This window comes from Homo sapiens, chromosome 17, assembly GCF_000001405.40.
Source record: "Homo sapiens chromosome 17, GRCh38.p14 Primary Assembly".
Taxonomy (NCBI): Eukaryota; Metazoa; Chordata; class Mammalia; order Primates; family Hominidae; genus Homo; species Homo sapiens.
In genome coordinates, this window is record NC_000017.11 from 76,789,812 (window position 1) to 76,807,270 (window position 17,459).

The window sequence follows — 17,459 nt, forward strand, 5'->3', positions numbered from 1 at the left end:
TGGGATTGTTCTCCCAGCCATGGTCACTCATATTGGCTCAGAATAAACCTCTTTAAATATCTTGCAGAGTTTGGTTTTGTTCATCAACATGGTTGTGAATATGGATTGTGTTTATTGGTTAAGAGATAATTAACTTTGAAAAGTTAATGTCTCATTAAAATAAAACATAATTACTTTGGCTTGTTTGTTTGGGTTATTTTGGTTGGGTTTCCAGCATGTAAAATAATTAGACAACTCTTTTCTCTACAACTCACATTTCTTTTCTTTTTTTTTTTTTTCTTTTTTTTTGAGACAGAGTCTCACTCTGTTGCCCAGGCTAGAGTGCAGTGGCGTGATCTTGGCTCACTGCAACCTCTGCCTCCTGGGTTCAAGTGATCCTCCTGGCTCAGCCTCTTGACGCATGAGCCACCACGCCCAGCTAATTTTTGTATTTTTAGTAGAGACAGGGTTTCACCATGTTGGCCAGTCTGGTCTCAAATTCCTGACCTCAGGCATGAGCCACCATGCTCGGCCTCGGCCTCATATTTCTTTCTTTCTTTTTTTTTTTTGAGACACCATCTCACTCTGTTGCCCAGGCTGGAGGGCAGTGGCGTGATCACAACTTACTGCAACCTCTGCCTCCTGGGTTCAAGCAATTCTCGTGCCTCAGCCTCCCGAGTAGCTGGAATTACAGGTGCGCGCCACCATACCCACCACAGGTTTTGCCGTGTTGGCCAGGCTGGTCTTGAACTCCTGGGCTCAAGCAATCCACCTGCTTCAGCTTCCCAAAGTGCTGGGATTACAGGCGTGAGCCACCGTGCCCGGCCTAAAACTCATATTTCTTGATAAATATTGGAAACATATTCCCTAGAAATAGTCTAACTCGGCCGGGCGTGGTGGCTCACGCCTATAATCCTAGCACTTTGGGATCACGAGGTCAAGAGGTCGAAACCATCCTGGCCAAAATGGTGAAACCCCATCTCTACTAAAAATACAAAAATTAGCCGGGCGTGGTGGCACACACCTTGTAGTCCCAGCTCCTCGGGAGGCTGAGGCAGTAGAATTCCTTGAACCTAGGAGGTGGAGGTTGCAGTGAGCCAAGATCACACCACTGCACTCCAGCCTGGGCGACAGAGCCAGACTCCATCTCAAAAAAAAAAAAAAGAAATATTCTAACTTGACATTTTGTGTGTTTTGTGTGTTTTTTGGTCCTTGATCAACAATATACTAAATCTTAATACTAGGATGTATATTTGTGTGAAGGTAGAAGGTCAAACTTGACCTTCTTTTTAACTTTGTGTGCAAATAGTGTGAATGTGCCCTGGACACCTCCCTGCAGCATTGGGCTATGATTTACTGGTTTTCTGAGCTGCTATTAAATCTGGAAGTTTTGATGTTCTTATCAAGAGTAGTTCTGCCCTATTTCTGTGTGATAATTTAGAGAACAAGCAGATTGCAGCTTTAGAGAAGTCTAGTCCAGAGGAGGCTCCTTTGAGCATTTATTTTTGACTTCGTTTCAATTCACAGGTCCTCTTTCTTTTACTTCCTGAAAATGTTGTCAGATATTTCCAATTCTTCAGTCTTTTTTGTTTACATTCTAAGCCTGTTTAACTTTTTTTTTTAAATTGGTTTAGTTTTCTCAGTTTTATATCTTAGAAAGGGATCTTTTGGGATAATTGTCACTGAACCGAAAGCAATTTGATGACTCATATTGTAGACACTGTGAGAACATGTTGAGGAAAAAACAGATGTTTTCTTCTCTACTTCTTTGTGGTTGGCGCGCTGGGGAGGTAGCCTGCTGAATCCATGTGCCGTGGGGGAGCCGCACGGGGTGTCTGGGCTGGCTCTCCTCCCACAGGTGGCTGCCCCCCAAGCTGTACCCTATTCTGCAGGAAATGATTTGTTTGGCAGCCAGAGCTTGCTTTCCACTAAAGAACATTGCCTTGGCTCTGGCAAACCCTTTGACTTAGGAACCATTTTGGCCTGTCCCATTATTTTGCAGAATGAAGCGCTTTGGGTTTGCTATACAGCTGGTTTTGGTTTTTTGCTTGTTTTTTTTTTTTCTTTTTTCTTTGTGTTCCCCCCCGCCCCGAGAGATCAACTCTTTCATTTTATCCCTTTCTGGATCAGAAACCATTGAAACCAGTGAAAGAAGAATAGCCCAGTGCAGGGCACTCACGTCTATTCAACACTGAATCCTTAATATGCTAGATGAGCCCAGCACATTTCATACAGTGCCATGGTGCCCTCCACGGCCTGACCTTCCAAAGCGAATTTTCTCTGCTAGAGACATCACTAATATATATTGAGTGCTTACCTACATACCAGGCACCCTTTTTTTTTTTTGAGACAGAGTCTCACTATATTGCCCAGGCAGGAGTGCAGTGGCACTATCTTGGCTCACTGCAACCTCTGCCTCTAGGGTTCAAGCAATTCTCCTGCCTCAGCCTCTTGAGTAGCTGGGATTACAGGTCTGCATCACCACATCCAGCTAATTTTTGTATTTTTAGTAGAGAGGGGGTTTCACTATGTTGTCCAGGCTGGTCTCGAGCTCCTGACTTCAAGTGATCCACCCATCTCAGCCTCCCAAAGTGTTAGGATTACAGGCATGAGCCACTGCACCCGGTGTAGGCGTTCTTTTATTTTTCTTTTCTTTCTTTTTTTTTTTTCCGGGCTCTCTTTAAAGCATGTTACAAGTAATTATCAACTAGAAACCATTATCCCCATTTTATAGATGAGAAAACCAAGGCACAGAGAGATCAAGTAACATATCCAAGATGGCAGAGCAGGTAAGTGCAGATAAGGACCCGCCTAAATTTGTCCATGTCCTGATTGCTGGAACCTGTGAATATGTTAGTTCCATGGTAACGGGGAATTGAGGTTGCAGGTGCAATTAAGGCTGCTAATCAGCTCACCTTGAGATGGGGAGATTATCTGGAATTAGCTGAATGGGCCCAATATAATGTCAGGTCCTTAAAGTGGAAGATTATCAGGGAACCTGCCCCCAATAGTCATGTAGGTTCTTTTCTATTTTCCCTAAGCATCCGCCGGGTTGAGAAATAAAGGGACAGAGTACAAAAGAGAGAAATTTTAAAGCTGGGCATCTGGGGGAGACATCACATGTCGGTAGGTTCCTTGATGTCCCACAAGCTGCAAAACCAGCAAGTTTTTATTAGTGATTTTCAAAGGGGAGGGAGTGTATGAATAGGGTGTGGGTCAAAGAGATCACATGCTTCACAAGGTAATAGAATATCACAAGGCAAATGGAGGCAGGGCGAGATCACAGGATGGGCGAAATTAAAATTGCTAATGAAGTTTCGGGCACGCATTGTCATTGATAACATCTTATCAGGAGACAGGGTTTGAGAGCAGACAACCAGTCTGATCAAAAATTTATTAGGCGGGAATTTCCTCGTCCTAATAAGCCTGGGAGCACTATGGGAGACTGGGGCTTATTTCATCCCTACAGTTTCGACCATAGAAGATGGCCACACCCAAGGGGGCCATTTTAGAGGCCTACCCTCAGGGCCGCATTCTCTTTCAGGGCTGTTCCTTGCTGAGAAAAATAATTCAGCAATATTTCTCCCATTTGCTTTTGAAAAAAGAGAAATATGGCTCTGTTCCGCCCGGCTCACCAGCGGTCAGAGTTTAAGGTTATCTGTCTTGTTCCCTGAACATTGCTGTTATCCTGTTCTTTTTTCAAGGTGCCCAGATTTCATATTGTTCAAACACACATGCTCTACAATTTGTGCAGTTAACGCAATCATCACGGGGTCCTGAGGCGACATACATCCTCCTCAGTTTACGAGATGACAGGATTGAGATTAAAGTAAAGACAGGCATAGGAAATCACAAGGGTATTGATTGGGGAAGTGATAAGTGTCCATGAAATCTTCACAATTTATGTTCAGAGATTGCAGTAAAGACAGGCATAAGAAATTATAAAAGTGTTAATTTGGGGATCTAATAAATGTCCATGAAATCTTCACAATCCGTGTTCTTCTGCCATGGCTTCAGCCGGTCCCTCCATTCGGGGTCCCTGACTTCCCACAACAGAAGATGGAGGCAGGAGGGTCAGGGTCAGAGTCAAAGTGATGCATTGGGACAAAGATTCAGTCTGCTGTTGCTGGCATTGAAGACAGTGGAAGGGACCACAAGCCATAGAATCTAGGTGGCCACTAGGAGGTGGAAGAGGCAAAGGAACAGTTTCTCCCCTAGAGCCTCCAGGAACAATGCAGCAGCCTTGCTGACACCTTACTTTTAGCCCCAGGAGACCCGTCTTGCACTTCTGACCTCCAGAAGTGTAAGATAATAAAATTGTGTTGCCTTTAAGCCACTCAATGTGATAATTTGCTATAGCAGCAGTAGCAAGCTAATACAAGGAGAGATGGATTTTTAAAAATCTCATCTGGGCTGGGTGTGGTGGCTCACACCTGTAATCCCAGCACTTTGGGAGGCTGAGGTGGGTGGATTACCTGAGGTCAGGAGTTCGAGACCAGCCTGGCCAACATGGTGAAACCCCGTCTCTACTAAAAAATTAGCCGGGCGTGGTGGAGCGCACCTGTAATCCCAGCCACTCAGAAGACTGAGGCAGGAGAATTGCTTGAACCCAGGAGGTGGAGGTTGCAGTGAGCCTAGATCACGCCACTGCACTCCAGCCTGGGTGAAAGAGCGAGACTCCGTCTCAAAGAAAAAAAAAAAATTAGCCAGGCGTGGTGGCAGGCACCTGTAATCCCAGCTATTTAGGAGGCTGAGGCAGGAGAATCACTTGAACCTGGTAAGCAGAGGTTGCAGTGAGCCAAGATCATGCCATTGCACTTCAACCTTGGCGACAGAGCAAAACTCTGTCTCAAAAAAAAAAAAAAAAAAAATCTGAAGAAGATGTACTCTTTTTTTTTTTTTTTTTTTTTTTTTTGTTTTGAGATGGAGTGTCACTCTGTCACTCAGGCTGGAGTGCAGTGGTGTGATCTGGGCTCACTGCAACTTCCACCTCCCAGGTTCAAGCGATTCTCCTGCCTCAGTCTCCCAAGTAGCTGGGATTACAGGTGCCCGTCACCATGCCCAGCTAATTTTTTTTGTATTTTTAGTAGAGACGGGGTTTCACCATCCTGGCCAGGCTGGTCTCGAGCTCCTGACCTCGTGATCCACCTGCCTCGGCCTTCAAAAGTGATGGGATTACAGGCATGAGCCACCACACCCAGCCGAAAATGTACTCTTAACCACAGTCAGTCCTCCATAACCATTTTGTATTGTAGGTTCAAACAACCATGGATCGAAAATATGGGGAAAAAAATTGTATCTGTACTGAACATGTGCAGACTTTTTTTCTTATGAGTCCCTAAACAATGGTGTATAACAACTATTTACATAGCATTTACATTGTATTAGGTATTGTAAGTAATCTAGAATTGTAGTAATTACGGGCTCATGCCTGTAATCCCAGCACTTTGGGAGGCTGAGGCGGGCGGATCACCCAAGGTCAGGAGTTCGAGACCAGCCTGGCCAACATGGCGAAAACCTGTTTCTACCAAAAAAAAAAAAAAAAAAAATTAGCCAGACGTGGTGGCGTGAGCCTGTAATCCCAACTACTTGGGAGGCTGAGTCAGGAGAATTGCTTGAACCTGGGAGATGGAGGTTGCAGTGAGCTGAGATTGCACCACTGTACTCCAGCCTGGGTGACAGAACGAGACTCCATCTCCCAAAAAAAAAAAATTATAAAGTATGCAGGAAGATGTGTGTAGGTTATATGCAAATACTATGCTATTTTATATCAAGGACTTGAGCATCTGCAGGTTTTGGTATCTGAGGGATGACTGGGATGACTACACATCTTTCATGATGTTGACAATCAGTGGAAGATGAGGGATGTTGTAATTTTGATTAAATTTCTCCATTCAGAAAATGGTGGTGCTTTCTAATTTCCTACCAGATCAGCTCACTGCAAGCTCCACCTCCCGGGTTTACACCATTCTCCTGCTTCAGCCTCCTGAGTAGCTGGGACTACAGGTGCCCGCCACCACGCCCGGCTAATTTTTTTTTTTTTTTTGTATTTTTTTAGTAGAGACGGGGTTTCACCATGTTGGCCAGGATGGTCTCGATCTCCTGACCTCGTGATCCACCTGTCTCAGACTCCCAGAGTGCTGGGATTACAGGTGTGAGCCACCACGCCTGGCCGATCAGGCCCATACTTCTTTGCCTGACACTGAACAATTCCTAAAACCTCATCCTGCAAAACCATACCTGCTCCATGCAAAACCAAAACTTCAAGACTCTAAAACCATGCCAGTCTCCAAAACATACCCTTTTCTGTAGACACATTTATTTTATTCTTGTTTCATGAATACATTTTACTTCAACATCTCTGCCTTTGTTCATATTGTATTTCTTTGTGGAATGACCTCTCTTTCTCCTTCCTTCTATCCAAATCCTATTCATCTTCAGGACCTGGCATAAGTCCCACCTCCCTGTGAAGCCTTTTCGGACCACAGCAGCCTTTTCCTGACTTTAGTGAAGTTCCCACAGACTGAATCACACCTCATCTTGCATTGCTTCCTTTTCCCCCATGTGTTTTTCTTGTTCTCACAACTATATTAACTCTTGGGGGGAAGGACTGTCATTTACAGTCTACATCGTACAGTCTACAGTCTAATATCCTCGACATTGACTAGTCTGATGACTTCCAACACCAAATCTCTGGGGGTTTCTCTTCCACACCAGCCGACTCTGCAGCACCAGCTGGGTGTTCAACAATTCAGTTCAATCCTGACACTACCAGGAGTTAGCACCGACCCTCACAGGTTAAGTAAGGTCTCAGTCCCACAAGACTACCATTACCAGAAAGGGATCCTGATGCAGACTCCAAGAGAGGGTTCTTGGATTTCACACAAGAAAGAATTCCGAGGCTGGGCACGGTGGCTCATGCCTGTAATCCCAGCACTTTGGAGGCCGAAGTGGATCTGAGGTCAAGAGTTTGAGACCAGCCTGGCCAACATGGTGAAACCCCATCTCTACTAAAAATACCAAAAAAAAAAAAAAAAAAATTAGCTGGATATGGTGGCACGAGCCTGTAGCCCCAGCTACTTGGAAAGCTGAGGCTCGGTTGGGCACGGTGGCTCATGCCTGTAATTGCAGCACTTTGGGAGGCCGAGGCAGGCAGATCACGAGGTCAGGAGTTCGAGACCAGCCTGACCAACATGGTGGAAACTCATCTCTACTAAAAATACAAAAAATTAGCCAGCTGTGGTGGCAGGCGCCTGTAGTCCCAACTACTTGGGAGGCTGAGGCAGGAGAATTGCTGGAACCCAGGAGGTGGAAGTTGCAGTGAGCTGAGATCGCACCACTGTACTCCAGCATGGGCGACAGAGCGAGACTCTTCCTCAATTAAAAAAGAAAAAAGAAAAAAGAAAAGAAAGTAAAGAAACAAAAGAATGGCTACTCCATAGACAGAGTAGCCCTGAGGACTGTTGGTTTATTTTAAGGTTGTTTTTTGATCAGTTGCTAAGCAAGGGATGGATTTTTTAAGAGTTTTCTGGAAAAGGAGCGAGCAAGCCCCAGAACTGAGGGTTCCTCCCTTTTTAAGCAATATAGGGATATAGGGTAACTTCTGGGCATTGCCACGGCATTTGTAAACTGTCACGGCTCTAGTGGGAGTGTCTATTAGTATGCTAATATGTTATACTTAGCATATAATGAGGTTGAGGATGACTAAAGTTCCCTTTAGTCGCTGTGTTGGTTTTGGTGGGTTTGGGCTGGCTCTTTTTCTTTTACAGCATCCTGTTGTATTTATTATCAGGGTCTTTATGACCTGTATCTTGTGATACCAGTCCTGAGGACCTCCTGTCTCATCCTGTGACTAAGAATGCCTGACATCCTGGGAATGCGGGGCAGCAGGTCTCAGCCCCATTTTACCCAGCCCCTATTTAAGTTGGAGTTGCCCCAGTTCAAATGCCTCTGACACTACCCCCACTTACTTCAGATGCCAGTCCTAAATCCAGGCCGTCCATACTTCTTACTGACCAGCTGTAAAGGGAGGGGAGTTCCTATAATCCCCAGCTCATATTTGATAATTTGCTAGAATGGCTTGCAGAACTCAGGAAAACATTTTTTTTTTTGAAACAGGGTCTCACTTTGTTGCCCAGGCTGGAGTGCAGTGGTGCTATCATAGTTCACTGCAGCCTCAAACTCCTGGGCTCACGTGATCCTCCCACCTCAGCCTCCCGAGTAGCTGGAACCACAGGTGCGCACCACCACGCCCGGTTAATGTTTTAAATAAATTTATGTAGAGATGGGGTCTCACTATGTTGCTCAAGCTGGTCTTGAACTCCCACGCTCAAGCAATCCTCCCACCTCAGCCTCCCAAAGTGCTGGGATTACACGTCGGAGCCACCATGCCTGGCCCAGGAAAACAATTTACTTAAAATTGCCAGTTTATTGTAGAGGATACAACTCAAGAAGAGCCAAATGGAAGAGATGTGTAAGGTGAGCTTGGGGTGGGGATGCAAAGCCTCTATGCCCCGTCCAGGGATGCCACCCTCCCAGCACCCCATGTATTCACCAACCTCGAAGCTCATCACGTCTCCAGATTTGAGAGATTTTATGCAGCTTAATGGCAGCCTCCTCCCTGCCCTTTCAGGAGATCAGTGGGTGGGATGAAACGCCCAACCTTCTAATCACTTGGTCTTTCTGGTGACCAGTCATTTGTGAGACTATATGGGGACCCCACCCTTTGTCACCTCAGTACATGTGTTATCAGAGAGGCTCATAACAACCAAAGACACTCCTGTCTTTCAGGAAATTCCAAGGCTTGTAGGAGTTCTGTGCCACTGAGGACAAAGACCAAATATATTTCTTATTATATCACATCTAGTAAAGGTCTGAGCCTCAAGGTGACTCTCGGGAAGTGGTTAGCAACCAGTGAGCTGTTGCTCTATTATGATTTAGAAAATAAGGAAATGAGGCAGGGCATGGTGGCTCATGCCTGTAATCCCAACACTTTGGGAGGCTGAGGCAGGAGGATCACCTGAGGTCAGGAGTTCGAGACCAGCCTGACCAACGTGGCAAAGCCCCGTCTCTACGAAAAATACAAAATTAGCCAGGCATGGTGGCACATGCCTGTAATCCCAGCTACTCGGGAGGCTGAGGCGGGAGAATTGCTTGAACCCAGGAGGCGGAGGTTGCAGTGAGCCAAGATCGCACCAGTGTACTCCAGCCTAGGCAACAAGAGTGAAACTCCATCTCAAAAAAAAAAAAAAAAAAAGAAAATATGGAAATGCAATAGATTCAGAATCATAAGATGTAGACACAGAAGGAATCTTGGAGAACATTTAAAACTTAGGGAACTCTTGAGACAAAATCTCACTCTGTCACCCAGGCTGGAGTGCATTGTCACGATCTTGGCTCACTGTAACCCCTGCCTCCCAGTTCAAGCAACTCTCGTGCCTCAGCCTCCCAAGTAGCTGGGATTATAGGTGCCCACCACAATGCCTGGCTAATTTTTGTAGTTTTAGTAGAGATGGGCTTTCACCATGTTGGCCAGGCTGGTCTCGAACTCCTGACCTCAAGTGATCCACACACCTCAGCCTCCCAAAGTGCTGGGATTACAGGTGTGAGCCACCACGTCCTGCCTTATTATTATTTTTGAGACACAGTCTTGCTCTGTCACGCAGGCTGGAGCCATGTCAGCTCAATGCAACCTCTGCCCCCCTGGATTCAAGCAGTTCTCCTGCCTTGGCCTCCTGAGTAGCTGGGATTACAGGTATGTGTCACCACGCCCGGCTAATTTTTTGTATTTTTAGTAGAGACTGGGTTTCCTGACCTCAAGTGATCCACCCACCTCGGCCTCCCAAAGTGCTGCGATTACAGGCGTGAGCCACTGCGCTGGGCTCATGGTTCCTAATTATATCGCAGAACCACACCTCTGTGTCCCAAACATTATTGCAAAGCATTTCTCTTCTCCCACCTTGTTCCCACCCCCAACCTTGCCCAAAGCTTAAAGCTTACAAGTCACCTAAATATTCTATTAGGGGAAAAAAACTCCAGCATGTTTTATTATCTGATCAGATGCATCATCTCATACCCCCTTTCCCCATGATTTCTCCTGCATTTCTTCTTGCTATTCCAGCCACTCCTATAGCCTTTTCTTCTCTTTTTTTCTTTTTCTTTTTCCTTTTTTTTTTTTTTTTTTGAGACCGAGTCTCCCTCCGTTGCCCAGGCTGAAGAACTGTGGTGTGATCTTGGCTCACTACAACCTCTGCCTCCTGGGTTCAAGTGATTTTCCTGCCTCAGCCTCCAAAGTGGCTGGGATTACGGGCACCCGCCACCACTCCCAGCTAATTTTTGTATTTTTAGTAGAGACGGGTTTCACCATGTTGGCCAGGCTGGTCTCGAACTCCTGGTGTCAAGTGATCCACCTGCCTCGGCCTCCCAAAGTGATGGGATTACAAGTGTGAGCCACTGTGCCTGGCTTAGCCTTCGGTTTTGCTATTTTCTCTTTTTACTAAGTATCTGGCTAAAAGGGTTTTCTTGGAGCTAGTACTGAAGTGGTATCCTTAAGGGAGGTAAAAAGTCCAAAAGCTGGCTTAAGTGTCCAGTAAGGAATCACTTAATTTGGCACAGAGGGAAGCATTGCCTCTGTAATGGTCACCTATGAAATCCTTTCCAATTAAACAGCCTTCTCCTTTGTGCTGTAGTCTCTTTGTATTGGTGTGGCCATTTGTCTGTGGGTAATAGCCAACTCGCAATGGATTGTTGCTGCTATTAATCTTTTTTTCAAGAAAGAAAATGACACACATAATAACCTGTTTGAAAAAGCCCTTTAATGGTACATTATTATTTGTTGTCTGGCTACAGAACAGTGAGGGCAGTGCATAGCTGTCTATACACTTTTCTTGCTGCTACAGAACTGATTGACTGCAGTAAAATAACCTTAAGATGTGTTTCTATGTTTCAGTGTAGAGGGTATACTTAGAATTTCCTGTATTTATCCTTCTATTAATACCATACTCAGACTGGGTGCAGTGGCTCACACCTGTATTCCTAGCACTTTGGGAGGCCAAGGCAGGCAGATCACCTGAGGTCAGGAGTTCAAGACCAGCCTGGGCAACATGATGAAACCCCATTTGTACCAAAAATATAAAAATCAGCTGGGCGCAGCAGCACGTGCCTGTGATCCCAGCTACTTGGGAGGTGGAGGCAGGAGAATCGCTTGAACCTGAGAGGCAGAGGTTGCAGTGAGCCGAGATGGCACACTGCACTTCAGCCTGGGCAACAGAGGGAGACTCGGTCTGAAAAAAAAAAAAGGAATAAAAGAATGGCTACTCCAGCCGGGTGTGGTGCCTCACGTCTGTAATCCCAGCACTTCGGGCGGCTGAGGAGAGTGGATCACTTGAGGCCCGGAGTTCGTGACCAGCCTGGCCAACATGGCAAAACTCCGTCTCTACAAAAAACTTAAAAAATTAGCCAAGCTTGGTAGCATGCACCTGTAGTTCCAGCTTTGAGCCCAGGAGGCAGAGGTTGCAGCGATCTGAGATCATGGCCTGCACTCCTAGCCAGGGGCACAGAGCAAGGCTCTGTCTCAAAAAAAAAAAAAAAAAAAAAAGGAAAAGAAAAGAAAAAGGAAGAAAAAGAAATAATAGCTACTGCATAGGCAGAGCAGCATTTTTTTTTTTTTTTTTTTGAGACCAAGTCTCACTCTGTCACCCAGGCTGGAGTGCAATGGCATGATCTCAGCTCACTGCAACTTCCGCCTCCCAGGTTCAAGCAATTCTCCTACCTCAGGCTCCCGAGTAGCTGGGATTACAGTCATGCACCACCACGCCTGGCTAATTTTGCATTTTTCGTAGAGACAGGATTTCACCATGTTGACCAGGCTGGTCTCAAACTCCTGACCTCAGGGATCCACCTGCCTTGGCCTCCCAAAGTGCTGGGATTACAGGTCTGAACCACCGTGCCTGGCCCAGAGGTCACTTTAGTTACCATCTTGCTTTTGGTGGGTTTGGCTGGCTTCTTTACTGCATTCTGTTTTATCAGCAGGGTCTTTAAGACTTGTATCTTGTGATACCAGTCCTGCTGACCTCCTGTCTCATCCTGTGTCTAAGAATGCCTGACCTCCTGGGAATGCAGCCCATTAGGTCTTGGCCTCATTTTACCCACCCCCTATTCAAGATAGAGTCGCTCTGGTTTCAGATGCCTCTGAGGCAATTACTGGGCTGGGCACGGTGGCTCACACTTAGCACTTTGGGAGGCCAAGGTGAGCGGATCACTTTAGGTCAGGAGTTCAAGACCAGCCTCGCCAACTTGGTGAAAGCCCATCTCTACTAAAATACAAAAAAAATTAGCCAGGTGTGGTAGTGGGCACCTGTAATCCCAGCTTCTCGGAAGGCTAAAGCAGGAGAATCGCTTGAAGCCAGGAGGCAGAAGTTGCAGTGAGTCCCGATTGTGCCACTGCACTCCAGCCTGAGTGACAGAGCAGAACTCTGTCTCAAAAACAACAACAACAAAAACAATTACTGTCATAAAAATGATAATAACAAGTATTGATGAAGATTTGGAGAAACTGGAACCCTCACATATGGCTAACAAGAATGTAAAATGGTACATCTATTTTGGAAAACAATTTGGCAGTTTCTCAAAATATTACACATAAACCGACCATACAACTCAGCAACTCTAACTCTTAGAAATTTACTTTCACAAAGTCATGCACTTGAGTGTTCCGAGCAGCGTTATTTATAATAGTCAAAAACTAGAAACAGTTGACATGCCATCCACGTGTAAATGTATAAAATGTGGTTTATCCGTACAGTGGAGGGCTGGGCACATGGCTCACACTTGTAATCCCAGCACTTCGGGAGGCCGAGGCAGGCAAATCACTTAAGGTCAGGAGTTCAAGACCAGCCTAGCCAACATGGTGAAACCCTCTGTCTACTAAAAATACAAAAATTAGCTGGGCATGGTGGCATGCACCTGTAATCCCAGCTACCGCATGAGTACACTCAGACAATTGCAAAGGAGTTCCACTCCTCTCACCTTGGGGTCAGCACCTACCCCCATTACACCCATGATCAGCAGGAAGAAGTTAGAGCAGTCTTCACCCTTTTTCCATATTCATTAGCCAACACCTTAAGATTAAGGTGTTATAAAACCCAAAGCGAGGCCAGGAGATCGAGTCCATCCTGGCTAACACGGTGAAACCCCATCTCTACTAAAAATACAAAAAATTAGCCGGGCGTGGTGGCAGGCACCTGTAGTCCCAGCTACTCGAGAGGCTGAGGAAGGGGATGGTGTGAACCCGGGAGGCAGAGGTTGCAAGGAGGTGAGATCGTGCCACTGCACTCCAGCCTGGGTGACAGAGTGAGACTCCGTCTCAAAAAAACAAAAACAAAAACAAAACAAACAAAAAAAAACCCAAAGCAAGAGATTGAAAGTGCCATGGCAAAATTATAACTGAGACAGTGAAAGAGATCTGACCTAACCAACTCCATCTTGCTTTGCATCTCCAAGCTGTTCTTATTCATTCCTGGGCACAGACCGAACTAACTTTGGAAGGAACTTGGTTTATAGTTTAAAACAATGACGATAACAGCCCTTTACCAAAACAAAGTTCCTTCTTGCCTGGAGACTAGACTGCCTTTGTCGGACTAACAAATTAGCCACAAGATTAGAATTTATGGTTTAGGAGTCATGCAGCTGGAGGATACAAGATTCTGACCCTCCTTAAACTGCTCCTAAGATCAGTGTTTGAGATGTTTTGCAGACCCTGCACTCGATGGATCATCTGGCACCACCCAGATCGATAAAATGGCCCATCTGATCTTATGGCCCCTGACCTGGGAATTGACTCCAGCACAAAAGGACAGCTTCAGTTCTGCATGATTTCATCTCTGACCCAACAGTCAGCACTCTTGACTCAATGGCCTTCCCTCCCACCCCCACCAAATTATCCTGAATTAAAAACTGTGATCCCAGAATGCTCAGGGAGACTGATTTGAGTAATAATAAAACTTTGGTTTCCCACACAGCCGGCTCTGCCTGAATTACACTGTCTGTATTGCAAATTCCCCTGTCTTGATAAATTGGCTCTGTCTAGGCCGTGGGCAAGGTGAGCCCGTTGGTCAGTTACAACCATGCTCAGCTAATTTTTTGTATTTTTTGTAGAGATGGGGTTTTGCTGTGTAGCCCAGGCTGGTCTTGAACTCTGGGCTTAAGGGATCCCCCCATCTCAGCCTCCCAAAGTCCTGGGATTACAGATGTGAGCTACCATGCCCCGCCTAACTGAGTAGCTTTACTTATTTATTTAAAAAAATTAGTTTTATTTTTTATATCGTAAGCCTTACTTGCAAAATGAGTAGCTTTCAATAGATGATCTTTCTCTCTTTTTTTTTTTTTGAGATGCAGTCTTGCTCTGTCAACCAGGTTGGAGTGCAGCGGCGCAATCTTGGCTCACTGCAACCTCTGCCTCCCGGGTTCAAGTGATTCTCCTGCCTCAGCCTCCCAAGCAGCTGGTATTACAGGTGCCCGCCACCACGCCCAGCTAATTTTTGTATTTTTAGGAGAGACAGAGTTTCACCATCTCGGACAGACTGGTCTTGAACTCCTGACCTCGTGATCCACCTGCCTTGGCCTCCCAAAGTGCTGGGAAATGACAGGTATGAGCCACTGCGCCTGGCCAGTGATCTCTTCTTACTGCACTCTGTGACTTGCCTTGAATTCCTTCCTGCACAAGATCCAGGAACCCTCCCTTAGGGTCTGGGTAGGGACCCCTTTTTCTGGCAACAGAGACTTTAAATACTTTTATGACTGCCTCTGATAGATTGTTCTACACATCTGTCCTTTTTGTTAACATGATTATAGGAAATGTAATTTAGGGCACCAAGAGAAGATCTATTCACGGAACACAGGAGTGAATACACACTGCCTCTGTATTGATGGAACTCATGCTGGGCCATTAAGTATTTATCCATGTATGCAAATGAGCATTGTTTTCAAGATATTGAGCCTCTCCTACCTTTCCTTCTAACTGATCCAAATCAGAATAACCTGATTGGTGAGCTGAGCTTCACCTCTAACTTGACTTGTTGTTGTGCTGCTATTGGTAATGAGGTGATACTAAGGGACTTTTTATGTTGATAGTGTGAGCGTCTCACATGCATGGGATAGGTAGGGTATGTGGGCCCTGGGTTTTGACTAGGTGAGATGCGAGGAAATACTTTTTTCTCTTTTTTTTTTTTTTTTTTTGAGATAGAGTTTCGTTCTTGTTGCCCAGGCTGGAGTGCAATGGTGCGATCTCAGCTCACTGCAGCTTCCACTTCCTGGGTTTAAGCGATTCTCCTGCCTCAGCCTCCTGAGTAGCTGAGATTACAGGCACCTGCCACCACTCCCGGCTAATTTTTTGTATTTTTAGTAGAAACAGGGTTTCACCATTTTGGACAGGCTGGTCTCAAACTCCTGGCCTCTGGTGATCTGCCTGCCTTGGCCTCGCAAAGTGCTGGGATTACAGGCATGAGCCACTGTGCCTGGCCTTTTTTTTTTTTTTCACCATTTTTTGAGACGGGGTTTCACTCTGGCCCAGGGTGGAGTGCAGTGGGACTACAGGCATATGCCACCATGCCCGGCTAAATTTTGTATTTTTTAGTAGAGATGGGGTTTCACCATGTTAGCTAGGCTGATCTCGAACTTCTGACCTCATGCGACTCACCAGCCTCGGCCTCTCAAAGTGCTGGGATTACAGGCATGAGCCACCACGCCTTGCCAGATATGAGGAAATACTACCCACTTTGGCAGAGTGCTTTATCCTTGCTAAAATACCTTACCCCAAATGCAAGAAACAAATCTTATTCCTGTTTGTTTTTTGAGACGGAGTTTGCTCTTGTTGCCCAGACTGGAGTGCAACTGCGTGATCTCAGCTCACCGCAACCTCTGCCTCCTGGTTTCAAACCATTCTCCCACCTCAGCCTCCCGAGTAGCTGGGATTACAGGCATGCTCCAGCATGCCTGGCTAATTTTATATTTTTAGTAGAGACGGGGTTTCTCCATGTTGGTCAGGCTGGTCTCGAACTCCCGACATCAGGTGATCCGCCTGCCTTGGCCTCCCAAAGTGCTGAGATTACAGGTGTGAGCCACCACGCCCGGCCCTTATTCCTGTTATTATGTGCAGATATTGAGAGGTGACAGCGTGCTGGGAGCCCTCTCAGCCCTCGCTCGCTCTTGGAGCCTCCTTGGCCTCGCTGCCCACTCTGGCCACGCTTGAGGAGCCCTTCAGCCCACCGCTGCACTGTGGGAGCCCCTTTCTGGGCTGGCCAAGGCTGAAGCCAGCTCCCTCAGCTTGCGGGAGGTGTGGCGGGGGAGGTATGGAGGGGGATGCGCAGGCGGAACCGGGGCTGCGCGTGGTGCTTGCGGGCCAGGGCAAGTTCCGGGTGGGTGTGGGCACGGGCGGCCCCGCACTCGGAGCTGCCCGCCAGCCCCCCGGCCCCGCCGCCCCGCCGGCACGGGCAGTGAGAGGCTTAGCACCTGGGCCAGCAGCTGCTGTGCTCAATTTCTCGCCCGGCCTTAGCTGCCTCCCTGCGGGGCAGGGCTCCGGACCTGCAGCCTGCTATGTCTGAGCCTCCCCGCCCCCGCCGTGGGCTCCTGCCCTGCCCGAGCCTCCCCAATGAGCGCCGCCACCTGCTCCAGGGCACCCAGTCCCATCGACCACCCAAGGGCTGAGGAGTGCAGGCGCATGGCGCGGGACTGGCAGGCAGCTCCACTTGCGGCCCAGTGTGGGATCCACTGGGTGAAGCCAGCTGGGCTCCTGAGTCTGGTGGGGACTTGGAGAATCTTTATGTCTAGCTAATGGATTGTAAACACACCAATCAGCACTCTGTATCTAGCTCAAGGTTTGTAAACTCACCAATCAGCACCTTGTGTCTAGTTTAGGGTTGGTGAATGCACCAGTTGGCGCTCTGTATCTAGTTAATCTGGTGGGGACTTGGAGAATCTTTATGTCTAGCTAAGGGTTTGTGAATGCACCAATTGGCACTCTGTATCTAGCTCAAGGTTTGTAAATGCACCAATCAGCACTCTGTGTCTAGCTCAGGGTTTGTAAATACACCAATCGACACTCTGTATCTAGCTAATCTAGTGGGGACCTGGAGAACTTTTGTGTCTAGCTCAGGGATTGTAAACGCACCAATCAGCACTCTGTCAAAATGGACCAATCAGCTGTCTGTAAAACAGACCAATCGGCTCTCTGTAAAATGGACCAATCAGTAGGATGTGGGTGGGGCCAAATAAGAGAATAAAAGCAGGCTGCCCGATGCTGCAGTGGCAACCACCTCAAGTCTTTTGGAAGCTGTGTTCTTTTGCTGTTTGTGGTATTGCTGCTGTCTGCTCTTTGGGTCCATACTGCTTTTATGAGTTATAGTACCACAAAGGTTTGCAGCTTCACTCCTGAAGTCAGGGAGAGCTGGAACCCACAGGGGGGAACGAACAACTCTAGAAGTGCT

At 46.8% G+C, this 17,459-nt stretch overlaps 1 protein-coding gene and 1 long non-coding RNA gene across 3 annotated transcripts in view, besides 1 other annotated feature; both read left to right on the forward strand.

Moving 5' to 3' along the window:
* MFSD11 (major facilitator superfamily domain containing 11) overlaps positions 1–13,994 on the forward strand; it is a 67,172-nt gene extending 53,178 nt beyond the window's left edge. For both annotated transcript variants that reach the window (XM_047436736.1, XM_047436737.1), the window contains 2 exons: positions 2,714–2,768; positions 13,733–13,994. In XM_047436736.1, the coding sequence (XP_047292692.1) occupies positions 2,714–2,746 (33 nt within the window). In that variant the 3' untranslated portion in view covers positions 2,747–2,768; positions 13,733–13,994. The remainder of the gene's footprint in view (positions 1–2,713; positions 2,769–13,732) is intronic.
* On the forward strand, positions 9,233–17,291 carry LINC02080 (long intergenic non-protein coding RNA 2080). Its single transcript, NR_110837.1, has 3 exons — positions 9,233–9,733; positions 14,374–16,142; positions 16,477–17,291. It is a non-coding gene; the product is annotated as a long intergenic non-protein coding RNA 2080 (long non-coding RNA).
* Positions 14,665–15,188: an enhancer, noted in NCBI's record as "OCT4-NANOG hESC enhancer chr17:74800558-74801081 (GRCh37/hg19 assembly coordinates)". NCBI's record gives its function as "activates a minimal SCP1, AML or CMV promoter by ChIP-STARR-seq in primed H9 embryonic stem cells {active_cell/tissue: H9 hESC(primed)}" and the evidence as "EXISTENCE:reporter gene assay evidence [ECO:0000049][PMID:30033119]".
* Positions 17,292–17,459: the final 168 nt, after the last annotated feature.